At 38.7% G+C, this 27,497-nt stretch overlaps 1 protein-coding gene and 1 long non-coding RNA gene across 9 annotated transcripts in view, besides 3 other annotated features; both read right to left on the minus strand.

Annotated features, from left to right (window-relative positions):
- Positions 1-27,497, minus strand: part of SMYD3 (SET and MYND domain containing 3) — a 757,933-nt gene that overhangs the window by 560,315 nt on the left and 170,121 nt on the right. For all 8 annotated transcript variants that reach the window (NM_001375962.1, NM_001167740.2, XM_047428020.1 and 5 more), the window contains 3 exons: positions 25,706-25,813; positions 20,819-20,876; positions 17,540-17,676 (listed from right to left, as the gene is read on the minus strand). In NM_001375962.1, the coding sequence (NP_001362891.1) occupies positions 17,540-17,676; positions 20,819-20,876; positions 25,706-25,813 (303 nt within the window). The remainder of the gene's footprint in view (positions 1-17,539; positions 17,677-20,818; positions 20,877-25,705; positions 25,814-27,497) is intronic.
- Positions 7,476-12,777, minus strand: SMYD3-IT1 (SMYD3 intronic transcript 1). Its single transcript, NR_189283.1, has 2 exons — positions 12,623-12,777; positions 7,476-12,207 (listed from the first exon to the last, which is right to left on the minus strand). It is a non-coding gene; the product is annotated as an SMYD3 intronic transcript 1 (long non-coding RNA).
- Positions 14,614-15,134: an enhancer, noted in NCBI's record as "H3K4me1 hESC enhancer chr1:246487577-246488097 (GRCh37/hg19 assembly coordinates)". NCBI's record gives its function as "activates a minimal SCP1, AML or CMV promoter by ChIP-STARR-seq in primed H9 embryonic stem cells {active_cell/tissue: H9 hESC(primed)}" and the evidence as "EXISTENCE:reporter gene assay evidence [ECO:0000049][PMID:30033119]".
- Positions 20,415-20,574: an enhancer, noted in NCBI's record as "active region_2853". NCBI's record gives its function as "activates an Ori minimal core promoter by ATAC-STARR-seq in GM12878 lymphoblastoid cells {active_cell/tissue: GM12878}" and the evidence as "EXISTENCE:reporter gene assay evidence [ECO:0000049][PMID:35858748]".
- Positions 24,147-24,196: a silencer, noted in NCBI's record as "silent region_2031". NCBI's record gives its function as "represses an Ori minimal core promoter by ATAC-STARR-seq in GM12878 lymphoblastoid cells {active_cell/tissue: GM12878}" and the evidence as "EXISTENCE:reporter gene assay evidence [ECO:0000049][PMID:35858748]".

The following is a 27,497-nucleotide window of genomic DNA, read 5'->3' on the forward strand; positions in this document are numbered from 1 at the left end:
GGACACTAATGAGGTTTTAGAAAAGAGGAAGCCACTTGCTGAGACATTGCCTTCACGGCCAAGAGTCTTTACTAGCCAATTCCATAGCACTCTTCCTATGAATTATAATTTAGAAAGGCAGATCCCACCCAATTCTAGAAATATAAGTTCAAATAGGCCCTAAGAATCTGGTGAACTCCATTTAAAAAATGATTTGTCTCTGCAAAAGAAAAAAGAAAAAGATTTAACTGACTGCAAATGAGCTTTACTTTATGGAATACCAGACACTACATGAGGAAATCTAGGTTTTTAAGACAGAGCAATGAGCTTGCCAAAATAAATCTTCTTCCACAAAAAGGTTCATAATAGAACCCTGTTAAACTCTAAATTTTCCTAGTTAATATAACCTGGTATATTATTTATAAACATTATAAGCAATGTTTTCAGGAAAAAAATTTGCTGTACAATACAGCACTGAATTCTATGTTTATCATTTTGCTATAAAGATAATTAGAAGTAATTAGTAACTTGGCAGCTCCAATGAACAAGACCTGCTTTTTTCAGAAACCATTAATCCTTTGATTCTTCATAGAGGACAAGAGAAATCGGAGGCAAGTCTACCTGAAAAGAGAGAATGACACGAATAGACTGGAAGAAAAGAGCTCCAAAATGTCTGGAGGTGAGACACTGACATTCATTTTCAGCAGCCATTCAATCCTGATGGACTGGAGCTTTTAGCTCTTCCCATTAGTGATGAAATGGCCAGCTTAAGATACTAGCACCTAACTGGAGGAGCAAAATAATGGAAGTTGCTGCCCTTTCTCTTACCCACTTATATTTTACACTTCTGCTTTCCCATTCCTGTCCTAATGGACATGTCTAAGAGAGTTGTGAAAGGTTTCCTAGAAAAGGCACCATGTTTAAACGAAATTTGCCAGGCAGAGCTGAAGAAACTGTACGAGCAAAGCTTGGAAGAAGAAAAGGAATCCTGAGTTTTAGGGGAAAGGACAAAGAGTAAGGCTTTTTTTTTTTTTTTTTTTTTTTTCTGAGAGGGAGTCTACCTCTGTCACCCAGGCTGGAGTGCAGTGGCGCGATCTTGGCTCACTGCAACCTCTGCCTCCCAAGTTCAAGCAATTCTCCTGTCTCAGTCTCCCGAGTAGCTGGGTCTACAGGCATGTGCCACCACGCCTGGCTGACTTTTGTATTTTTAGTAGAGACGGGGTTTCACCATGTTGGCCAGGCTGGTCTCGAACTCCTGACCTCGTGATCCACCCACCTCGGCCTCCCAAAGTGCTGGGATTACAGGCGTGACCCACCACACCTGGCCTAACAGTAAGGCTTTAAAGAGCCTACTCAACTAATACTGAAGACTGTTAGTAAATATGTGACCTATGGAATGATCACACTCTATAGAATGATCACACTGACTGAGAGCTCTATATTATTTTGTAATTGAAAACATGAGTTGTTTTCAAAAGAACTTTTAAATACCAAGATGATGCAAGTTTAAACCTTCCTTGTCATGGAGAAAATGCCCTTCCACTCCAATAAACTAAAAGATAATTTTTAACTATACAGAACATAATGTCTTGTTTCCACAAAATGCTAAATACTTTGCAAGATTCTCCTTGCTGACTCTGAGGTGGCAGAAAGTGACAAATATCATCCAAATCTTACTGATACAAGGAAAATATTTTCAGCACAAAAAAAATCTTTGTAGCATCATCATTGCTCTAAAGAAAAGCTAGAAGCCTGCCATAATGATTAGCAAACTCATATAGATATCTCCAGGAAAGGATTTACAAAATGTCATCACATCCTTGTAATCATCTAATTATCAAACTCAGCAGTGTTGACAAAGCACAAGCCCACTCAGCTACTGCTAATGATTATTATTCAAAGCTACATTTCTACCAAATCAGAATAACTTACAGGTAGAAGCTCATTAGCCTTAGGAACCACCCTCCTTGAACACTCACACGCACACGCACACGCGTGACACGCATACACACACGCGCACGCGCGCACACACACGCACACACACCCCAGCCATAACTAGGCCTTGCTGAATTGTCATTTGCTTTCATGACCCTCCTTCGTGTATATGAGCAGCTTTACGAATTGGTTCAAAAATACCCAGCCTTTCAAAAATAATTCCCTATCTAGAAAAATACCCTACAGACATCTATATCTAGAGAAATACCCTATGGACATTAGTTTGCTAATGTCATAGCAACAGTGCGGCAGGCATCGTCAAGCTTTGGTGGCTTGAAGAAACACACTGGCAATGCAACAATGGGAAGGAGCTAAAACGTAATGTAAGTGACAATGCAACGTGAAGGAATGGAGGCATAAAGGCAATGCAACAATGGGAAGGACTGAAAGCATAATGCAAGCCATGGAGGAAAAGCATACACTCACTGAATCTCCGCAATCTACTTGTCACTACACCAGGTGCTAGGAAAATGGTTACGACCCTCAAGCTGCTTGCAGTCTATGCAAGCAGTCAGCCAGCTCCAGGAACGTGGCATGAGATGAAGCTTGCAGGGTCCTCAAATGCCATACTTAAAAGCCTTGATTTCATACAAAGGCAGTAGGGAATCAACAGACATCTTTTTGCAAGAGATTAAATGATCAAATCTGGGTTTTTTTTCAATTATCTCTAATGGCAAAATATAAAAATGAATTGAGACTCAGGGAAACAGTGAGAGGCAAGGATATGAGTTAGAGGCCATTTAGGTGAGATCGGAAGGATTTTAATAATAACTGGGACAGTGACAAAACAATATAAAAATAAAACAATAGAGTCAAGAGATCTTTAAAAGCAGCATAAGCAGGGCATACAGAAGTTTGGGGGAAGAATCAGAGGTATTCCTGATATTCCTGGCACGGCTGGCTCAGGAGATTGCAACGTCAAGAGAGAAGACAGCAAAGGTGGAGAAGCAGTATGCTGTGCGGAAGAAAAGGCAGAGTTTAGGCACTGCACACGACGAATCTGAAGTAAAACCAGGTCACATAGATGAAGATTTTTGTTGGTATATAGAAAATATGGGATGAGCTCAGAAACACAGGCAGGCAAGTAAAGCCATGGCAGCACCATATTGTCATTCAACAGGTAACCAGAGACAAATCAGCAAATAACTTTTAAAACAAACTGGTGAGACAGGCAGAAGGACAATGATGAGCAGGTTAAAAGACTTCCGAAGGTTAAACACTATCACACCTCAAATCTGCATACCTTGAGATTTAAGTGGGTATTGTTGGTTTTGGTTTGTTTGTTTTTCGTTTTTTTGAGACCGAGTCTCGCTCTATTACCCAGGCTGCAATGCAGTGGCACGTTCTCGGCTCACTGCAACCTCTACCTCCCAGGCTCGAGCGATCCTCCCACCTCAGCCTCCCAAGTAGCTGGGACCACAGGCATGAGCCACCACAATTTTTGTATTTTTTGTAGAGATGGGTTTTGTCATGTTGCCCAGGCTGGTCTCCAACTCCTGAGCTCAAGCGATCTGCCCACCTCGGCCTCCCAAAGGACTGGGATTACATGTGTGAGCCACTGCACCTGGGCAAAGTGGGTATTGTTCCATAAAATCTTGGCCAAATGGGAAACAAGAAAACCCACAGTATAGTCACTTCTTATTACAGAAGACTTTTGAGGCCCCCAAACAATATACCTTACCAACTTCTGCTCTAACCTGAAAGACCCACAGCCACTGAATGATTGTGAAGGAGGAAAAACAGACCCTAGGACACCAACCAGCAAGTCACACACGCCTCTGCAGATGCTGTATTGGCTGAAGAAAATGCTGCCACCCATCGGGGAAGGAAAGGAAATTCTATTAAGGATATTTTTAATTCTGATCCTAATTCAGGTGATCCTAATTAAACAGCTCTGCATAAACAGTGTCTTGATAAATTTTTCCTATAAGCATCAAAACGAAAACCAAATGTCAATCAAAACTTGAAATAGCGCCCATGACTGCCAAGTCTGGTCACATGTAGCTCTAATGCTTTTCTTTTACTTGACAAGTATTTATTCAAAAACAACATTTTAAAATTATTTGCCTATGTCATTAATATCAAGTATAAATGTTAAGGTCAAATAAATATCACTAAAAGAAAAAGAGGTGTTAATAAGGCCAAAGAGTATTTTCTTATACACTGCATATATAGTTTATAGCATAGAAAATGTTTAAATCTATAAATGCATGTATCTATAGAATCATAGGGAAAAGCACACCCAATAATGGCTTGAAAATGATAAAGACTCAATCTGGAGGGCTCCTGAATAATTAATGTTTTAATATGCAGTACTAAAAGATTGTAGAATGCAGATTTCAAAAGGTACCTTAACTCCATGCAAATTCCATGTCAATTATCTTTATTTTCACATACAGTTGTGGCAACATCAGCACAGAATCATTTGACATGAATAATCCACCCTCCTCCCACTCAAACTACCAGCATTTATTTAGATTTGAATATATGAAGGACAGAGGTATGTAAGGCATGATGTACCACCTGGATAAAAATAGCAGAAATCCTGATTAAATAATTTACAGTTTTGCCTAGAGCAATACTTTAGTATTAGAGAATATTATCAAATATTCTTATTTCCATCATTCTGGATTTTGCTAAGGCTTATAATGGTCCATAATTAGGGCTCTAACAGAGAACTAATATAACACAGAATGCAGTATGGTGGAATGCAGAAAATAAGAACTCTGGAATGAAGAAAGCCATGTTAAAGCTCTGTCTCTTTTACTTAAATATAGTGTGACCTTACGCACTTTCTCATCTACAAAGGCACGATACCCATAACTCAGAGGGCTACTATAGAAGATAATGTGAAAGTACACATTAAAGTACTTGGTAGAATAAAAAATTAAAACAAAGGAGTGCGGCACTAGGAAACTTGTGATCAATCCGCCAATTGTCCCTTGATCTGTTGATGTAAGACAGGTACCAGTGTCTAATACTCATTTGCTTCCTGGAAAGTATGGGCCAAAAAATGGGAAATACAAGACAAATCCACATACTCAAATATGTAATACAGCAGTTCTGTTTATAACTGAGTTATCTGAAGGGAAGGCAGACAGCTGGTTTGGGAAGCCAAAATCATTTAAACACGGACATACAGAATCTCTGAATTGAAACTCATCATTAGACAAGCTAATCTAGTTTCAAATGTCGAACGATACTATTCTGTAACTTATTTTTAATTTTCTGCCTTTACACAGATAGGCTTCAATATAAGAAACAGATATTGCTGAAAGGTTGTCTGTAATTTAACTTCTGTTTGCTGTATCACATTTTCACTTCAACTTAGCAGCTAAGTTCTTGAGCACTTGGGCATCAACTAACAGAAAGGGCATTAGACAGAACTCAGAAGACTTCAGTTCTAGCTTTCTTCCTGTCACTGGGTGACTACTTCCCCCTCTCTAAGCCACAACTGATGTATTCTGGAGAAAGGGAGAGGAGAAAAAATGGGAAGGCTATGGTATCAGAGAGTTTCTGTGATCTCTTCAGCCCTAAAGTTGTATAATTTTATTTTGCTTAAGGAAGAAAATGGGGACACATGACCTATTTTCATGAAATTTATAGTCTAAGTGGGAACCTAAGAAAAAAGGACAGACAACTTAGAAAGTAGGGGATAGTCACAGTTGTCAAATGCTTGGCATAGAAAATAACAGTGACTACTGATTTTACAAAAGGGAAAGCTCAATCCTAACCAAGTAGATTTCACCAAAGATCTGAGTAGAAACCTTAAGAATAAGCAGGACCTCAATAGAGAGGGCGAGGGAAGATAAACTACACCCTTCCATGATGCACCAGAAATATCACAAACTCACAAATTCAAAGAGCAGTTTACATATCATCTAGGCCTACCTTATAGAGACAACCCATCCTGACACGTAATTCTAATCCTCAGTGAAACTCTTCCAGGAAGAAGTAGCTTCCAGCTGTACCAGGACACGCTGATACGTTGTTGGAACGCTCTGGTTATAAAGCTCTTCTAGATAATAAAACAGTATTTTTGTCCTTTCTTCATCATGCTTTGTAAATAGACATTTATTTGAATATGTCTCTTTAAACATGTAACATTAGGTACTAAACACAGAAACTGTAATGAAAATCAACTTTTGAAGATAGAAGGAAGACTCTTCCTCTTTGATTAAGATGCTTTAAAAGAATCTGGTTTGGCGAAGCCATCCCCAAACTCGCCTGCTTACCTTTATGATATACCAAGTCATCTTATTTTCCACATCAAATGGCAATGTCTGATTTTTGCCCCTAAAAAAAACACTCTGTTTCTGCCTATTACAAAATTTAATAGAGCAGTTTATCACAGTTTTTCATCACTCTTAATATTATATCTCTAAAACATATTTGTTTTTTCCTCCCATGAAAGGTCCTTCTTATTTGCAATAGAAACAGCCAAATCATAATTTAAAGTTTGAGGGCAATAATCCACAATCTAAGAAAAATCAAACAAAAACTTTGAACCTGAGTTACATAACCACAATATTTCTAATAGAAAATTTTATCTTTATGTTTCATTTCAAAACAAAATAACAAAATATAACACCTTTAATTAAGAACCAAAAGCATGATAGCACATGTCTGTAGTCTCAGCTACTCAGGAGACTGAGGCAGGAAGATTGCTTGAGCCCAGGAGTTTGAGGTCAGCCTGGGCAACATACTAAGACCCTGTCTTCATGGGTTTTTTTTTTTTTTTTTGAGAGAGTTTCACTCTTGTCGCCCAGGCTGGAGTGCAATGGCACAATCTCAGCTCGCTGCAACCTCCCCCTCCCAGGTTCAAGGGAGTCTCATGCCTCAGCATTCTGAGTAGCTGGGATTACAGGCATGAGCCACCACGCCCAGCTAATTTTTGTTGTTTTGGTTTTTTTTTTTTTTTTTTTTGTAGAGACGGAGTTTCACCATGTTGCCCAGGATGGTCTTGAACTCCTGACCTCAGGTGATCCACCCACCTTGGCCTCCCAAAGTGCTGGGATTACAGGCGTGAGCCACCGTGGCTGGCCAAGACCCTGTCTTTTAAAAAATTAAAAATTAAAGGCCAGGCACGGTGGCTCATGCCTGTAATCCCAGCACTTTGGGAGGCCGAGGCGAGCGGATCACAAGGTCAAGAGATCAAGACCATCCTGGCCAACATGGTGAAACCCCATCTCAACTAAAAATATAAAAATTAGCTGGGCGTGGTGGTGTGCGGCCTGTAGTCCCAGATACTCGGGAGGCTGAGGCAGGAGAATCGCTTGAACCTGGGAGGTGGAGGTTGCAGTGAGCTGTGATCACGCCACTACACTCCAGCCTGGTGACAAAGTGAGACTCCTACTCAAAAAATAAATAAATAAATAAAATAAAAATTTAAAAAAAAAGGAAACAGCTAAGAATGACAGTTTAAAATATTAAGACAATAAAGTCCCTGCTTTTTCTATTTTATAATTTCTTTCTCTCTTTAGTAAAATAATTGCAGTTTTCTTACTATACCATTGAGATAAAACATTTTTAAATTATTGAATTAAATTGGCTTTAGAGTAAAACAAAAATTGACTCAAAAAACAATTACTGTGTGTGTACTGTGCTCAGAAATGTGACCAGCAATGTAAACCGACAGAACCAATGGCTTTTTAGAAAATAACAAAGTATTTCCGATCCTTTTTTAAGTAGAGAATTTTCTCCCAGCACATCCTATTTCCAATTGTGTGCAAAAAACCTTCCAGCTTACAAATGTTAATTCAGGGGTTGGCAAATAAAGGCCCAGAGGCCAAATCTGGCCCACCACCTGCTCAGTCTGCAAGCTAAGGATGTTTTCTTACATTTTTAAATGGTTGGGGAGAAATAGAAAGAGTATTTTTGAATATGTGAAAATTACATGAAAAATCAGTGTTCAGTGTCAATGTTTCTTTGGTATACAGCCACACCCATTCATTCACGTATTGTACACGGGGCCTTTCAGGCTACAATGGCAGAGTTGAGTTGCCACGATAAGCATGTGAGGTAATGCATATGTTAATTTGCTCCATTTAGCCACTCCACAATATATACGTATTTCAAAAAATCATGTTGTACATGATATATATAATTTTTATTTGCCAATTTAAAATAATTTTTTTAAAGAAGCAGCTACCACAGAGACCATAAGTAGCACTCTCTTTACACACTACAAATTGTCATGAGGCAGTTGTGACTCACTTTTGTCTCCTGCCTGGAAAGCCTAAATATTTACAATGTGAGCTTTTAGAGAAAAATGTTCTTCAAACCTGGAATAATTAATATAGTTATTCATCATTCCTTGAAGAACTTAGTATAATGGCAGTCTCTATGAGTCAGAGCTATCAAGTAATTACTAGATTTCTTGAATCTTATCATGATATTAGTGTTTCTTTTTGTCAAGTCTCATATATTTATATTATGTATTAATTTTTAAAAATACATTATCTGGGCCAGCTGTAGTGGCTCATGTCTGTCATCCTAGCCCTCTGGGAGGCCAAGGTAGGAGAATCACTTGAGCCCAGGACTTCAAGACCAGCCTGGGCAACATAGCAAGACCTTGTCTCTACAAAAGTAAAGCAAAATATTAGCAAGGCATGGTGGCACACACTTGTAGTCCCAGCTGGGCAGGGGAATCACTTAAGCCTAGGAGTTCAAGGCTGCAGTGAGCTATGATCACATGACTGCACTCTAGCCTGGGTGACAGAGCAAGATCCTGTCTTTAAAAATAATTTTTTAATGAAATGAAATAAAATATAAAAACATTTATCAAAGTGTGCTCCACAAAACGGAAAAGGGATACTGTTTTCTCACATTCCTTCAATCCGTCAAAAATTAAAGACCTCCTGCATACAATGAAGGTTGCTAGGAATTCAAAATAAATAAGATGTAATTCCTGGCTCCACGTAATTGCATTCTAGTAGAGAGACACAGTATTCCAGTAGATTGTTGTCACTAAAGGAAAAGCCAAAGCAATGACAGTAACCTTTGCCATTTCATAATGTCATACAGACATTTAAAAAATATCACCTCTGTCTGCATTAATGGCAAGTTATACACTTAAATAGATAAAGCAACAAGGCTTGACAAACACATTTATCCATCAATACTTTCAAGCAAAGCATTAGCCTTACATAAGCAATTAACCTTGACCAACACGGGTATAAACAAAAATGCTGATTAAGAACTTACTAATTATCCTTCCCAACTTCAGAAGTTTAGCTGGCATCTGGTTTTTAACTATGATAAATATACACCAACTCATCATAGGTTATTAACACATAAGTGAAAAGAAATATTTAACCAAATGGCTACGAATGAAGAACACGATAAACAAATATCATCATTAAAAATCCAAACAATGAGTTGTTTTCTTTGAAAGCCCAAGTGTCCTACAAACATCACTTTATTTGAAGGTAGAGAAATATTTCTGAGAATAATTGTCTCCTGAATCAACTTCGAGATTCAATCTGTTGTAATAAAGACAACATATATAAATCATAGATGCATGACACCGTTTCATAATTAGAATGCCAGGATCTGCATGCAGTTAAGCATCCTAGCTGTTTGCCTGCTTTACTTAACACCAGAAGAGAAGTATAATCCCAACAGCTAAGTATTCTAGCAGCTGTTGTGAGCAGAGTAGAGAGATGTGGCATGTAGCAGTCACCACCACACGTAAACACACAAGCACCCCGGTGACTGGAGGTTAGCAATCCTGGTGTGCCTGCTCGCTTTTAGTGTTAAATATTTAATGGCATATTTTTCCTTAATGGAACCCAGGCACATCTGATCAGTCACTGGGATCATTTAGTAATGCAGTCAAAGTTATCATACTGCCATTTCACATCAACTTTGTAATTAGATAATCCATCACTTTATTAATTCAAAAGATTGCTTTCTTTACTACCTTATAGCAGGCTACAGCAGTGAAACCCAACAGAGCTCATCAACAAAAAAGGCTCTAAAATCTGGTCCTACATGAACTTGAAACCCTCAAGTGACAAACATATACACACTCCTGACCTTTCAAAACAACAGAGGTAATACTCTTCCCACAAATTAGCCCACCAACAACAATGAAGTAACAGAGCACCAGTGTATCCAGAATGAGATGGTTAACAGAACTGAAAATTTAAGCTTAAAAGCTGAATATAACATGATCAACTTTGTTCTCGCTTTTTATTGAGGTACACTGTTCACCAGAGGATGAAAAGGATACACAAAAAAGTCATTTAGTAATTTTCCCTCCATGCTGATTTATATACTTCACTAAAATTATGAGGGAGGTTATAGCAGAATATCACATCCATTATTTATGATCACTCTAAATGTAAAGGCACATACCGGCCAAACACAAGCATGTAATCTTGAATATAGTATCACGATTTTCTCTTGCTTTATTTCTAACATACCACAAAATATTAAATCGCGATTTCTTATCGTATTGTGAATTGGTAAGATTCTCGTTTTAACACCTTCACAGCTTCTCCAATTTAAAAAAAAAAGAATCCTCCAATAAAAAATAATTTACTCAGAATGAAACTGTAAAATTTAAATATCATAGTACCAAAAACACCCTCTAAAATACTCACTTTCCAATCTATGCAACCAGTACATATTGCAAAACCAGCTACAGCTAATATAATTAAAAATTAGATTTTGGAAAAGCAAGCTCCGGAGGTCACATACGTGCCCTAAAGAACAAAAATAACATGCTACCAGGAGAATTATTAATTTGAAAGAAAGAAGGAGAGAACATCTTCTCAAACAGATGTGGAATTTCTAATCAAAAAAATTCTGTGGCAGTTGCACAACATTATAAAGTTCAGCAGTACTTTGCAGAGCTCCGGAAACACTAACAATGGCATATGTTCTGTGGTCAGGAAGGTCACTTTTATTCTTGTTGCCGCCAATCTAATGCCTGTTTTTGAAACATTCTATGCAACTAGTCTATTTTCTATTTTATTGTTCAGATTTTACCACATTTCTAATCAGGCTGCCAAATAAATTTTTAGAAAAGAAAGTTATAAGCCCAGAAAAAAAAATTATATATTTTTCTAGAACTCTGTACAATAATCCCTAAAGAAATCTTTTATGTGCATAAAAAAAATCTCAAAACAAATTCTACTGAAATTACGTTGAGACTATCAATAACCATTGCCAATAATTATCAATGGACATTTTAAGGGATAGAATAGAGAAATACAATACATTCCATGGCGTTTCAATTAATTAGAACATGACAACTGAAGCACGCTTAATTCCATCCTTTTAAGATGCATGTGTGAGAAAGATTTCCATCATCAAGGGAAGCCTACTTTTACATTTCCCACGTGAAATTCCAAGAAACTACTTTGATACCATGGAGTTTCTAAGAATGTTGGCAACAGTACATGATTTCTGTCCACAATGGCTATGACTGAAACTAAGCCTCAAGAAAAGACACCATTGCCTGTTTGCAAAATTTCTTCTCAACAAAACAGGTAATTCTCAGGATCTCAAGAGACACCAGCACTGGGCACAACTGTGAGCAACCATCTGAGACTCTAGTTTACAAACAGTGGCAGACTGCGCTCTTGGCTAGATGACAGCACAGGGAGATTTAAAACACCAAAGTTCTATAATCCAATAAAAATAAAGCTGAGAGGTGGGAGCAACAGTAGTAGAAATTAATAATATGTGTCAGACACTACTAAGTACGTTATAGTTGATCCTCCTTGAAATCTATGAAGTAGATATTAGTATTTCCATTTACAGATAAGAAAATTGAGATGGAGAGAATTTTATTTACTTGACTGAGGAAAATGACCTAACCATCATATTATTCAGCCTCCCATTTAAATTTGGCCTCTCTCTAACTGTAATTTTTGTTTGTTTTGAGTTGGGGTCTCACTCCGTCCCCCAAGCAGCACTCATGGTTCTCTGCAGTCTCAAACTCCGGGGCTCAAGCAATCCTCCCATCTCAGCACACCGAGTAGCTAATTGTAATTTTCTGAGTTTCGAAGGATATATTTATGCTTAGGAGTATATACATTTTCTATATTTGTAGCAAATGTTTCGGACCCAATCAGTACACCGAATCACAGCATTTGTCATGCCATGATAAATTTTTTTGAGACAGGGTCTCACTTTGTAGTCCAGGCTGGAGTGCAGTGGTGAGATCACAGCTCACTGCAGCCTCGACTTCCTAGGCTCAAGCAATCCTCCCACCTCAGCCTCCCAAGTAGCTGGAACTACAGGTGTGTACCACCCTGCTCTCAGCTAATTTTTTTTTTAAGTTTTTTTGTAAAGATGGCATCTCGCTATGTTGCCCAGGCTGATCTCAAACTCCTGGGCTCAAGTGATCCTCCTGCCTCGGCATACCAAAGTGCTAGGACTATAGGAGTGAGCCATTGTGCCTGACCAATAAATCCATTTCAAAATCTAACAGGTGCTGGGTGGGGTGGCTCACACCAGTAATCCCAGCACTTTGAGAGGCCAAGGTGGGTGGATCACTTGAGGTCAAGAGTTTGAGACCAGCCTGGCCAACATGACAAAAGCCCATCTCTACTAAAAATACAAAAATTAGCCCGGTGTGGTGGCGCATGCCTGTAATCCCAGCTACTCAGGAGGCTGAGGCACAAGACTCAACTTGAAAGCCAGGAGGCAGAGGTGCAGTGAGCCGAGATCACGCTACTGCACTCCAGCCTGGGCAACAGGGTGAGACCCTATTCCCAAAGAGGGGGAAAAAAATCTCAAAGGAAATTTTGTTTGAAAATGGAAGTGGAGATTTAAAAAAAAAAAAAAGTGTGTGGTAGAGAGGAGAAACAGCTTGTAGAGATGGAGACATACATCTTCTCTTCTCTAAACAATGTGAAAAAGAGCCAGCAGAGATGAAATTGGCCTTTATTTTTTATATGCATATAAATAATCACATCTCCTGTGTTCATCTGTATATCCCCGGTGCACTTCCTATCCTTTCAACACCTTCATTGCTGTCTGTGGAAATTAACACCTTTCATTGCTCACACTTTACACTTTTATCTCCGTTCAGCCACACACTCCCCAGGGAACATACAATCTAAGTTTTTTAAAAAAAACAAAACTATCCAAATAAAGCTGCAAGTAATTTGCTCTAGCCTCTCCATCCAACAGATTATCACTCAGCATCCCCTCCTCTAGAGAAATTCTGGGAGTATCCCTACCCTCACTTTCTATTACATTTAGTGCAAAACAAACATTTTAAACATCAAGCTCTTATTCTAACTCTACTGTAATTACTAAATATAACTGAAATCTGTATTCCACAGGTAACAACTTCCTTTGAAAACCTTCTCCGGAGGAGGTTGATATATTTCCCTCAGGAGGTTGGAGGAATCAACACCCTCACTCCCCAACAGCATTTCTAGACCACTGTATATCACTGTTTCCCAACACCAGCCTCGCTTTTGAAATTTACGTCAGTTTCCACTTCTGATATGAGGTCCTCCTTGACACCCACCCCTAGAAAAATTCCTCCTTCCTATGGCTCATGTTACTCAGTTTTTACAGCCAGGCAACAAATTCATAAGTGGACAGGATATATCTATATAGAAAACTCCACAATCAAACTCCAATTGCTATTAGGGTGTGTGTGTATTAACACTGGTGCTAAGAGTCAGAGTCAGACTAACACTGGTGCTAAGAAGTGGGGTGAAAAGGAGGAATATCTGGGAATATGACCGGGAAAATTACAAGTAACAGAAGAAATTTTCCAGGTAAAATTAAGGCTTACGCAGCAGATGCACGTTCAGCATTGAGAACCCGGTCCGACAGGAAAGACACACCATTTTTCCGCCAGAAACTCCAGTGTTCAAAATACAAACTGCCAACTTTTCAGGCAATAATCATGAGCTTCCATTAGAAAAAGCCATCAGCTCACCAGACGACGAAATATGCTCTCGGGATTAAGAACTTTCTCATCCTCCCTGAGCCCTTTCCTTTCAGGGGAAGTGCAAGTTTGATAAAGATATGCATATTCTTCAAGTAAGACTTTTGACCTGCTGAAGTTTTCTGCCTTGATAGATAATTTTGAGATTTAGAATTAGCCACATACTTCTACAACCCTGTGTCAAGAGTATTTTGTACACACTAGACCTGCAAATAAATAAATAAAAGTCTGCTGTACTTGCTAAGCAAATTCAGATTCAACTAACAAACACCTCTCAGCAGGGCAAGAGACTTGGTAAGAAAAGACTAATTCTAATGAAGGTTTAAAACTCCGAAGAGAAAGAACATCTGTGTGAACTGTAAGTATTAAAAATGACAGATATAAAATGAGTCTGAAAATTAGGGAAACCAGCTGATAGAAACATGAAGATTCATTCTACTAGTCCCTCTATTTTTGTGTGTGTTTGAAAATGTCCATAATTTAAAAGTCAAAAAAATTAAGACATAAGCAATTTTAGAAAAGCTCTCAGAATTCCATATGCCTTTCAATGAAAATTAGATGGTCTAAAACTGGCCGGGTGCGGTAGCTCACGTCTGTAATCCCAGCACGTTGGGAGGCCAAGGCGGGCGGATCATCCGAGGTCAGGAGATTGAGACCAGCCTGGCCAACGTGGTGCAACGTTGTCTCTACTAAAAATACAAAAATTGGCCAGGTGTGGTGGCAGGCGCCTGTAATCCCAGCTCCTTGGGAGGCTGAGGCAGCAGAATCGCTTGAACCCGGGAGGCGGAGGTTGCAGTGAGCCGATGTTGCGCCACTGCACCCTAGCCTGGGCGACAAGAGCGAAAACTCCATCTCAAAAAAAAAAAAAAAAAAAAAAGATGGGCTAAAACATAAGCTTAGTATGTCTATTATCTGCACAGAACCTGAATGAATGTAAATGAGAGGAACCAAAAGAAAAACAAAAAACAAGATCTTGTTTATTGAGGCCAGGTATAGCCAGCCTTGTTGACAGCGTAAATTCAGAAGTCAGCAGCTTCCTCTGTATGTACAAACTGTCAGTCAGGGATAGTTGCATGTTGACCCGCTTTCCACAGCCTAATGAACTGACTTTTGAATTTTCGCTGTGAAGAAGGCTGGCTTTACCTGGCCTCAATAAACAAAATCCTGTTTTATGTTATTTTTTTATGGTGCCCGTTTCTTCTCTTTGATTAATTAATTTTATACCAGAGTAAAATGAGGAGAGGAGCAGTAGACTGGGATAAAAATCTCTGCCCAGGGATCTTCACCCAGTTCCCGTGTGCTTGATGTGACTTGCACCATCACACACCGTCAACATTCTGGGCTCAGTGACTCATCCCTGAAAGCTGCAGGATCTATTTAGGTTAATTTAGGATCTTTCATGAACAAGGAAGGAGAAGGAGTCAGGGGGCGGGAAGGAGGGAGAAGGAGTCGGGGGAGCGGGAAGGAGGGAGAAGGAGTCGGGGGGCAGGAAGGAGGGAGAAGGAGTCGCGGGGGCGGGAAGGAGGGAGAAGGAGTCGGGGGGCGGGAAGGAGGGAGAAGGAGTCGCGGGGGCGGGAAGGAGGGAGAAGGAGTCGGGGGGGCGGGAAGGAGGGAAAAGGAGTCGGGGGGGCGGGAAGGAGGGAAAAGGAGTCGGGGGGCGGGAAGGAGGGAGAAGGAGTCGGGGGGCGGGAAGGAGGGAGAAGGAGTCGGGGGGGCGGGAAGGAGGGAGAAGGAGTTGGGGGGGCGGGAAGGAGGGGAGTGATTTAAGGACAAATTTATAAGCAGAAAAATACAAATTAAAAACATTAACAAAACTTTCACCAGAAAGTACAGAAGCCATAGGTTATTGGCTGCTTTCATCTGATTATTAACCTATATTTTAATGCAGAAGTGACACACTAAGGCCAATTATGCCCAAAAATCTCAAAACTGTGTATTTTCTAGCAATAACAAATATTATGTGGGGAGAAGGGTAAGCATTATATTAAAAATTGGTACACTTAATCATAGCAACAGAATTTTCCCCCTATACAACATGGAGATAATTTCATTATAAAATACATGAGACTAAAATCTTCAGAAAGAAAGAAGAACTAGGATAGTAATTCACATTTTACATGTAGCAACAGAAAGTATTTTAAAATATTTTTCATGGATATTAATAACATCAGTAATTATCACTGGAACATTTTCCAACAATAGAAATAATTACCACAGAATAGCCACAAACTTAACACTAGGAATGAGGTAATAATCATCATAAGGTATATTTTTATCTTTCAGTAGGTGTTCGTGTTTATAGTGTTGAACATGAAAACAGCCTTGGGCACGGCACACGATACTACTACAGGTTATAATTTTCAGAAGCATATGAAATAGATGAGAAAGTTTTCAGATGCACTGTAAGAAATCAGTAAATTTTGAAATCAATTTTAAATTATAGATAACCAGAATATAATGCTAAGATGACATTAATCAGAAAATCATAAAAATGTACCATACAGAATAAAAATACATTTGAGAAAAACTGGAATAAATCTCCAGCAATCAAACCAATTACATTTAATTTTTCAGAAAACAGTAAATTTTAAAACATGCCTTAAAATATTAATGGCATAAATATATCTTCAAACGTGTGCTTACAAATTACAAAATAAGTGGCAAAATTGTCAAAAGTAAAGTTTTACTTGTTATTAAATTGTGATCAACATTAAAACAAATGCAAACACACAATGTGAGAAAGCGAGGACAGCAGATCCATAGCAGTGAGGGGGTGTTTCTGTCATCCCTATCCCAGGGTAAATATCAAGAAGCAATCATTTCATGCCTATGGGCTAGTGAAGAAAAAAAAAAATCAATCATCGCACTCTTCCTCCCTAGGCCAAGATAAACCCTCGGAATCATTTAAAAAAAAAAAAAATACTTCAGGAGGCCGGGCGTGGCAGTTCGCGCCTGTAATCCCAGCACTTTGGGAGGCCGAGGCGGGTGGATCACCTGAGGTCAGGAGTTCAAGACCATCCGTCTCTACAAAAACAAAAAAAAAAAAACAAAATTTAGCTGGGCGTGGTGGCTCATGCCTGTAATCCCAGCTACTCAGAATGCTGAGGCATGAGACTCGCTTGATTCTGGGAGGCGGAGATTGCAGTGAGCCGAGATCGCACCACTACACTCAAGCCTGGGTGACAGAACGAGACTCTGTCTAAAAACAAAAAAGAAAAGAAAAGAAATGGATTTCAATAAATTTTTCATTTCAAAGACAGGCTCTATGCTTAAACAACCACCATAAAACTCAATGAATGCAATGCAACGGCAAACAAGTCCATTCACAAAAAATAATGGGATATGCTATTTTCTTCTGAGAAAAGAAAGCATACTCTTTCTTCCAAGGGTACACTTTGAGAATTCACAATGAACATACTCAGGCAATAACAAGAATATTAATCAAACAGAAAAATTCATACCCTTCTCAATGCACACAATACATTCTCTCATGCTCTACTCACTATGATAAGGAAGTAATATAAGGCATTAAGGGTCTTGAATTTCCTGTCAAGATTCTCGACATTTTTGTAACTAACAACAAAATAAGGAGCAAATGGTTGATGTATGGAATTAGCAAAGAGCAAACTTAACACTTACTTTTGCAAAGGCTTCAAAAAGGTCAAAGGCAGGTGGCAGCTGAGAGGCATCCTGTATTTCTTCTCTCATGAAATGTTGAAATGTCATTACGAGTTGCCTGAGGCCCTCTTTCTTATCTTCAGTCAGTTTGTTAATATCTTTTTTAAAGAGAAAATAAATAGCACAATCTCAAAGTAAACTTCTGAAGGATAATTTTCAAGTGTTCAATGCTGGCTGTTAAACCAGATATTTCCTACCTTACATTGGATTTTGACAAAGAGCAAATACATATTGTTTTATCTTTTGACAACTAAATATGATGCATATGTTATCAATTAAATTCTGCCAAATTTTGTCTGCAATGTAAGATCAAACACCTATCAAAACATAAGTACGCACATATATGAAAAAGCATTAAAACCAAAATCACTGAGATTGTGTGTTACCAGATTTTCTACATCATTCTGTACACACATACAAACAATTATCAGTTCTTATTAAGTCAGTAAACTTAAGCAGACTTTTCCATGAAATAATTTACAACTAGGTCATGACTAAACTAATAAACAGCATCACCTCTAAGGCAAAAAGACAGAAAATAAGAACTAAAAAGTTCAGATAAAGTTCAAATAGGTTAAATTTGTCATATGGCTAGTACATCATGAATAGAACAGGGATCAAGCACAGCAATTTCAACTTCAAGTTATCTGAGTTGAATAAACAAGATAAAGGAGCCTGGCGCCGTGACTCACGCCTGTAACCCCAACACTTTGGGAGGCCAAGACGGGCAGATCACTTGAGGTCAGTAGTTCGAGAGCAGCCTGGCCAACATGGTGGAACCCCATCTCTACTAAAAATATAAAAATCAGCAGGGCGTGGTGGTGTGCGCCTGTAATCCCAGCTACTCGGGAGGCTGAGGCAGGAGAATCACTTGAACCCAGGAGGTGGCGGTTGCAGTGAGCCAACATCGCGCCACTGCACTCCAGCCTGGACAAAAAGAGAGACTCCATCTCCAAAAAACAAAGACAAAAAACAAGATATGATGTGGCATCAACCCAAACAGAAGGAGATGGTTCTAAAACAAAAGAAGAAGAAAAGTTCTAACGCCAATACTACCCCCTTAAATATCATTTTCAATCATACCACAAATGGGGTGTTAAGGCTGAAAGGATACAACAGGTCAATTAATAACATGTGAGAGCATTTCACTTAAGGTCATGTGTATGACACTAGTACTGAGTAGGGCTAATGTGAAGAGTAAAACCCATGGTAACAGATGTTATTTACCTAGCAGTAATATAACAAGAAAATTTGAATACTTTGCTGTCTTTTAAAACTTGAAAAGATACATCAAGTTGAACTACAGCATAACTCTGTTGCTTATGTCTATGCATATCCTTTAGATTACTTATTCAACAGAATAACCCAATGATTTCTTTTTTTTTCTATTTTATATGCTTGTTAATTTTTTTTTGATGGTAAATATATGTTTTTTTATTTTATTTATTTTTTCTTTTATTATTATTATATTTTAAGTTTTAGGGTACATGTGCACAATGTGCAGGTTAGTTACATATGTATACATGTGCCATGCTGGTGTGCTGCACCCATTAACTCGTCACTTAGCATTAGATATATATACTAATGCTATCCCTCCCCACTCCCCCCACCCCACAACAGTCCCCAGAGTGTGCTGTTCCCCTTCCTGTGTCCATGTGTTCTCATTGTTCAATTCCCACCTACGAGTGAGAATATGCGGTGTTTGGTTTTTTGTCCTTGCAATAGTTTACTGAGAATGATGATTTCCAATTTCATCCATGTCCCTACAAAGGACATGAACTCATCATTTTTTATGGATGCATAGTATTCCATGGTGTATATGTGCCATATTTTCTTAATCCAGTCTATCATTGTTGGACATTTGGCTTGGTTCCAAGTCTTTGCTATTGTGAATAGTGCCACAATAAACATACGTGTGCATGTGTCTCTATAGCAGCATGATTTATAGTCCTTTGGGTATATACCCAGTAATGGGATGGCTGGGTCAAATGGTATTTCTAGTTCTAGATCCCTGAGGAATTGCCACACTGACTTCCACAATGGGTGAACTAGTTTACAGTCCCACCAACAGTGTAAAAGTGTTCCTATTTCTCCACATCCTCTCCAGCACCTGTTGTTTCCTGACTTTTTAATGATTGCCATTCTATCTGGTGTGAGATGGTATCTCACTGTGGTTTTGATTTGCATTTCTCTGATGGCCAGTGATTGTGAGCATTTTTTCATGTGTTTTTTGGCTGCATAAATGTCTTCTTTTGAGAAGTGTCTGTTCATGTCCTTCGCCCACTTTTTGATGGGGTTGTTTGTTTTTTTCTTGTTAATTTGTTTGAGTTCATTGTAGATTCTGGATATTAGCCCTTTGTCAGATGAGTAGGTTGCAAAAATTTTCTCCCATTTTGTAGGTTGCCTGTTCACTCTGATGGTAGTTTCTTTTGCTGTGCAGAAGCTCTTTAGTTTAATCAGATCCCATTTGTCAATTTTTGCTTTTGTTGCCATTGCTTTTCTTAAATAATAATTTATTACCATGGGAACTTCAGATCCCACAACCTTATATAAATCTGTACTAGATCATCTTCTTGTCTCCATCCAGAAGTATTAAACTGTGCAGCAAATTTACTGTATGTGCCCTGGCTAGTTTTGAGTTGAAATCACTTACAACCTTAACGAAAAGGATCTGCGCCAATACAAAATCAAAACGAAACCTACCTTTGCTTAGCACTCAGATATGGGAAGCTTTTTAAGTCATCACAAGAAGGTGGCTACCTACATGGTAGTTTCAGAGAAGAATGATGCTTCACACTGCCACAGAGACTGAGTCATCTGTTCCTTCTACCTTCCTTAATGTCTAAAAGATCAGTAACCCTAAAAGCTCTGTGGAATCCCCCTGTTCACTAATCACTCTTCTCTGACATCAAAAAGAAAACAGAACAGGAAACCAAGAGACAGAAGAAGGGAAACAGGGAAGAAAAAAAGAAGAAAAATGATTTTGTCAACTGGACTAATGGTTACACTACCCCATGTAACCTGAACATCTTCATGGCGCTTTACTAACCCTTATCAGGACGAAGCTACCCTGGAATAAGTGAAATAAACCAGTGTGACAGTTGTATATAAAAATAAATTTTGTTAGGTTTGCATCACATTATAAAGAAACAGAAAAACATAGTTAAAAATAAATCCATTCACCAACTCAGCAAACAAATTATAGAAACTTTTTTAAGATGCTGATAGACAATCACTTACTTGACTCCAGATCATAAAATGAGTAAAGCTTCTCTGATTCTGAAGGTGCTCCATCCATCTGTGAAGGAAAAGGGGAAAACGCCAATAACAATTTCAAGTGTTCCAATATATAAACAAATAAGTTTGAGTACCTTTGTATATTTAAATGAAAGTCCATCAAAAAGAACATTTTCTATATATTCTTTCTATTCATCACTCTCATTAGACTGAATTAATCAACAACTTTAAAATAAAAATCTAACTTGTATCTTCACTCAACAGTTTAATCTCCAAATGCAAAACTCTTGTACAAAAAGTTCCCATATTTTTATATTCATAAAACCCTCTATAAAATCGTGTACCGGCCAAAAGAGTCAGTAAACAATAGGAAAAGGTGGGGCATGGTAGCTCACACCTATAATCCCCGATACTTTGGGAGGCCGAGGCAGGCAGATTGCTTTAGCCCAGGAGTTCAAGGCCAGCCTGGGCAACATGGCGAAACCCTATGCCTAAAAAACATACAAAAATTAGCCAGGCATGGTGGCATGCACCTGTAGTCCCAGCTACTCAGCAGGCCGAGGAGGGAGAATCACTTGAGCCCAGCAGTTCAAGCTTGCAATGAGCTATGATTGTGCTACTATACTCCAGCCTGGGTAACAGAGCAAGTCCCTGTCTCAAAAAAGAAAAAAAGGAGAAGGACAAATCGGGAGCCTACAATAATTTGAGAAAGATATTCACACTAAAGATGGGTAAAAAAATCTAAAAGGCTTCACCACAGCAAGATTTCACAGAGTTTACTGTTTTGCCACTTATGAAAAAGGGCCGAAGAAATCACTTCAGTGAATTTTAGGAAATAAGATAAGTACTCTTCCAGTCAATACTAATTATGTATGTGTATCTTCCTTGAAGAGGAAAGTAGAAAATGACATGCTCGCCCTGTGCATTAGTTTACAATACCCAAGTTATAAAGGCAATGTAACAGAGATTACTACCATCTCATACCTCAGAGATAGAACCTCCTCCATCTTTATTCCCACAAGAAGATAGCAGGGCCTTCAAAGAGAGACTGTGTATTTCTTCACTGCTACAGATTCCATGATTAATAGGAAAAGAACAAATTTTTTTGTCTAAGACACTCCCTGGAATAATCTACCTTCTACATTAACATGGGGTTAATTTCAGCCTTAAATAGGAATAACACAGGCATACCTCATTTTATCACACTTCACTTTATAGTGCTTTGCAGACATTGCACTGAAGATTTACATCATCGAACAAGTCTGTCCATACCATTTTTCTAACAACACGTGTTCACTTTGTGTCTATGTGTGACATTTTGGAATTCTCACAATATTTCAAACTTTTGGTTATTATTATATCTGTTACTGTGGCCTGTGATCAGAGATCTTTAATGTTACTACTGTAATTGTTTTGGGGTACCACAAACCATCCCCATATAAGACCACAAACTTAATCAATAAATGTTGTGCGTGTTCTCACTGCTCCGCCGACCGGCTTATTCCCACTGCCTGGCTATTCCCCTATCTCTTCCCTCTCCTCAGGCCTCTGTATTCTCTGACACAACAATATTGAAATTAGGCCAATTAATAACTTTACAATGACCTATAAGTGAAAGGACGAGTCACACATCTCTCATTTTAAATCAAAAGCTAGAAAAATGAGTAAGCTTAGTGAGAAAGAAATATTGAAAGCTGATATAGACCATAAGTCAGGCCTCTTGCACCAAACAGCCAAGTTGTCAACACAAGGGAGAGTTCTGAAAGAAAATGAAAAGAGCTACTCCCATGAACACATGAGTGATAAGAAAGCACAACAGTCTTATTGCTAATCTAGAGAAAGTCTGAGTGGCCTGGATATAGAAGATCAAAACAGCCACAATATTCCCTTGAGCCAAAGCCTAATCCAGAGGAAAGCCCTAACTTGCTTCAATTCTGTGAAGGCTGAGAGAGGGGAGAAAATTGCAGAAGAGAAGCTGGAAGTTAACAGAGGTTGGTTCATAAGGTTTAAGGAAAGAAGCCATCTCCATAACATAAAAGCACGAGGTGGCCAGGTGCGGTGGCTTACGCCCACAATCTCAGCACTTTGGAAGGCCAAGGCGGGCAGATCACCTGAGGTCAGGAGCTCGAGACCAGCCTGGCCAACATGGTGAAACCCTGTCTCTACTAAAAGTACAAAAAATTTAGCTGGCCATGGTGGTGGGCGCCTGTAGTCCCAGCTACTGAGGAGGCTGAGGCAGGACAATCGCTTGAGCCTAAGAGGCGGAGGTTGCAGTGAGCCAAGCTCACGCCACTGCACCCCAGCCTGGGTGACAAAGCAAGACTCCATCTCAAAACATACATACATACATAAATCTAAAAAAGTGCAAGGTGAAGCAGCAAGTGCTGATATAGAAGCTACAGCAAATGATCCAGGAGACCTAACTAAAATAATTGAATTTGGCTACACTAAACAACAGATTTTTAATGTAGATGAAACAGCCTTATATTGGAAGAAGATGTCACTTAGGACTTTCATAGCTAGAGAGAATTCAATGCCTGGCTTCAAAGAACAAGTGGACTTTTTTTTAGGGACTAATGCAGCTGGTGACTTTAGGTTGAAGCCAGTGTTCATTTACCATTCCTAAAATGCCAGGGCCCTTACTATTTGTGGTAAATCGACTTTGCCTATGCTTTACCAGTGGGAGGTCAAAACAGCAACATGAACCGGAGTTCAGAAGATTCAGAAGAACTTGGTTCCAACCTTCATGGATAACACTGAGGGGTCAAGACTTCAGTAGAGGAAGTAAGTGTAGATGTGATAGCAAGAACGAAGGAGCTGGAATCAAGATGAAAACCTAGGAAATACCCTTCTACACATCAGTCTTGGCAAAGAATTTATGATGAGTCCTCAAAAGCAACTGCAACAAAAACAAAATTGACAAGTGGACCTAATTAAAATAAAGAGCATCTGCACAGCAAAAGAAACCTGCAATGGAGTAAATAGACAACTTACAGAATCGAAGAAAATATTCGCAAACTATGCAGCCAACAAAGGTCTAATATCCAGAATCTATAAGGAACTTAAGCAATTCACAAGTAAAAAACAAACAACCTCATTAAAAACTGGACAAAGGGCCACCACAGTGGCTCGCACCTATATAATCCCAGCACTTGGGGAGGCCTAGGTGGGAGAATTTCTTGAGCCCAGGAGTTTGAGACCAGACTGGGAAACATGATGAAACTTCGTCTTTCCAAAAAAAAAAGGAAAAAACACAAAAACTAGCGGGGCGTGGTGGCATGCACCTGTGGTCCCAGCTACTCGGGAAGCTGAGGTAGGAGGACTGCTTGAGCCCCAGAGGTTGAGGCTGCAGTGCGCCATGATCATGCTACTGCACTCCAGCCTGGGGCAACAGAGTGAGACCCTGTCTCAAAAAGTGAAAATAAAAAGTGCACAAAGGACAAGAACAGACACTTCTCAAAAGACAACATACAGGTGGCCAAAAAACATAGGAAAAATGCTCTACGTTACTAATCATCAGAGAAATGCAAATCAAAACCACAATGAGACACCATCTCATAACAGTCAGAGTGGCTATTATTAAATAAAAAAAAAACACATGCTGGTGAGGCTGCAGAGAAAAGGGAACACTTATCTACTGTTAGTGGGAATGTAATCTAGTTCAGCCACTGTGGAAAGCAGTTTGGAGATTTCTCAAAGAGTTACCATTCAACCCAGCAATCCCACTGTTGGGTATATATCCAAAGGAAAATAAATCACTCTACCAAAAAGATACATGTACTCATACACTCATCACAGTGCCATTCACAACAGCAAAGGCATGGAATCAATCTAGGTGCCCATTAACAGCACAATGGATAAAGAAAATGTGATACATAAACACTATGAAATACCATGCAACCATTAAAAAGAGTGAAATCATGTCTTTTGGAGCAACATGAATGCAGTTGGAGGGCATTATCCTAAGTGAATTAACATAAAAACAGAAAACCAAATACCACAGGTTTTTACTCACAACTGAGAGCTACATATTGGGTGGACATGGACACAAAGATGGGAATAGCAGACACTGGGGAATACGAGGGGGAGGTAAGAAGCAGGGAGTGGGCAAGAGATGAAAAGCTAGCTACTGGGTACCATGCTCACTACCTCGGTGATGGGATCCATCATACCCCAAACCTCAGCATCATGCAATATACCCATGTAACAAATCTGCACATGTACCCCCTGAATCTAAAATAAAAGCAAAACTTTTTTTAAAACAGAGAGAAGTAGAGCCTAAAGAATTATAAATTAACTGATTAAAAATTAACTGATTTTCTGCAATCTCATGATAAAACTTGAAAAGATGAGGAGTTGCTTCTTATGAATGAACAAAGAAGGTGGTTTCTTGAGATGGAACCTACTCCTGGTGAAGAAGCTGTGAGGCATCATATGTTACAGTGAAATCATTTGCGAAAGGAAGAGGCAATCAATGCGGCAAATTCGACTGTTGTCTTATTTTAAGAAATTGCCACAGCCACCCCAAAGTTCAGCAACCACCACTTGATTAGTCAGCAGCCATCAACATCCACCAGCGAAAAGATGATGATGCACTGAAGGGTCTAATGATCCTTAGCAGTTTTAGAAATATATTTTTTAATTAAAGTATGTACATTGTTCTGTTGGCATAATGCTACTGAACACTTAATAGACTACGGTATAATGTAAACATAACTTTTATATTTACTGGGAAGCCAAAAAATTTGTGAGACTCATTTTATTGCAATATTTGCTTTATTGTGGTAGTCTGAAACTGAACCTGCAACATCTCTGAGGTATACCGGAAAATGCAATTGCATATGTTTATTTAACCAAAACCCAGCTATATTTCATGAGTTTTATACTCACAAGTTTGAAGACAACTCTGCCAAGAAGTCGAACGGAGTCTGGAGGATATCTGGGTTTGCAGCTTTTAAGGCATTTGCATTCCCGCTTGTGGTCTGGCCAAGCTTTTTTCTATTAAAACAAGAGTGGGGAGAACATAGGTGACCTAAAATTTAACTTTCATTTATACTGGTTTTGAACATCAAGAGTCATAAACATTAAATTTTAATAGTCCAAATGTAACTGCACAATAGAAAATAAAAGCAATATTCTAAATCTGAAAATAATCCAGGATGAGTCTTTGCCAAATATGCAATTACTATGCAAGGACATTAAAAGCCTCAGCTTCACCTCTGTGCTTTCATTTGTCCCCTGGTTATTACCTGGCTAGTGGAGTCCAAAGAAAGAGCCATTACAGCTTACTTAATAATGTATAAGATGGTCTTGGAACTGATTAAACAGGATTCAACAATAGTCATTTTGAATACAAAAGGAAAATGTCACTCCAAATTAGAAAATAAAACGTGGTTCAGAAGACTCAAAATAGGGATGACAGCCTTCTGAATTTCTGTGCTGCTACAGAAATATCAGGAGGGCTAACACACCCCCAAATATAAAATCTCTTTGTTTTAAAAGCAACATAAAAAGAACTATTAGCTAAAATCATTAAATGTCCAGTTTGTCCTGGATGTGTCTAGGTTTGTATCTATGTCCTGGCTTAAATATTAATAGTGCCCCTTTTCACTCTGAAAAGTTCTGGTTTTGATGACAAATTATATGGTCACCTAAGCCATGATCCTAGCCATGTGTTGATGTGGCTAAAGAGACCATTGAGTCAGTTGCCAATGTACAGATGAATGGACTAAAGGGAAGGACACTATCCTTGAGCCTTGGATCAGAAAGGCGACGGCTCCTTTCACACGGAATCACTTTCATATGGAAATAAAATCCAGATCATCTAATATTTAGCCCTGGTGAGTAGAAGAAGCCTCAATCAAATGTCTCTCGTGTTATATTCTGAAAATTGGAATTTCCATTACTGAAATGCCTGATACCACTTACTCATTCTTATTTCAAAAATTATAAATCTGCTCCTCAATTTCTGGGTCTACAAAATCAATGTGCTGTTCATAATTTTTGTTTTAGCATTTACACTTCACTCACTTCTAAACAAGACTGAGCTGATTCAAAGTAAAGATGTGTATGAAATAAGACTGCAAAACCAGAAACAGAACATATTAAAATTATGGAAGGGGGAAAAAGGAAAGCACGCTAGCATTTACTTAGCATTCTACAAGGTACTAGATACATGGCTAAGCAAATAACGAAGCACGTTTCACTTGATTTTCGTAACAATCCAAATGGTAGGTATTATCCCTCTATTACAAATAAAGGCTCAAAAGCTGATATCTAACTATCAAACTGCCCAAATACAAAAAGAGAGAGTAAAAATTCTTAGCATGCTAAACATGAGAGCTGAATAATTTCTGCATTACATTTGAGTATTTGTACGTCACATTTATTTGAGATGCCTTACAAGCAAGGCAAAAAAGAAGGCATAATGGCTTATATAATCCTCAACTGACAGAAAGTAAAAACATACAGTTTCACCAAGTATTAAATCACAGGAGGGATTTATTCCAAGAATGCTAATCAACACACTGAACAATGTCCTTAACAACAGTTCACAACTATAATGGCCTTTCATATGACTTCTAATATCAGTACTCACTGAAAGGCATAATATTAAAATACAACTCAGTGAAAGAACAAGCTTCTGTTGCTCAGGGGGCTAGTCCTTGACTAGCAATTAGCA

The sequence above is a fragment of the Homo sapiens genome, chromosome 1 (assembly GCF_000001405.40).
Source record: "Homo sapiens chromosome 1, GRCh38.p14 Primary Assembly".
NCBI classification, from domain to species: Eukaryota; Metazoa; Chordata; class Mammalia; order Primates; family Hominidae; genus Homo; species Homo sapiens.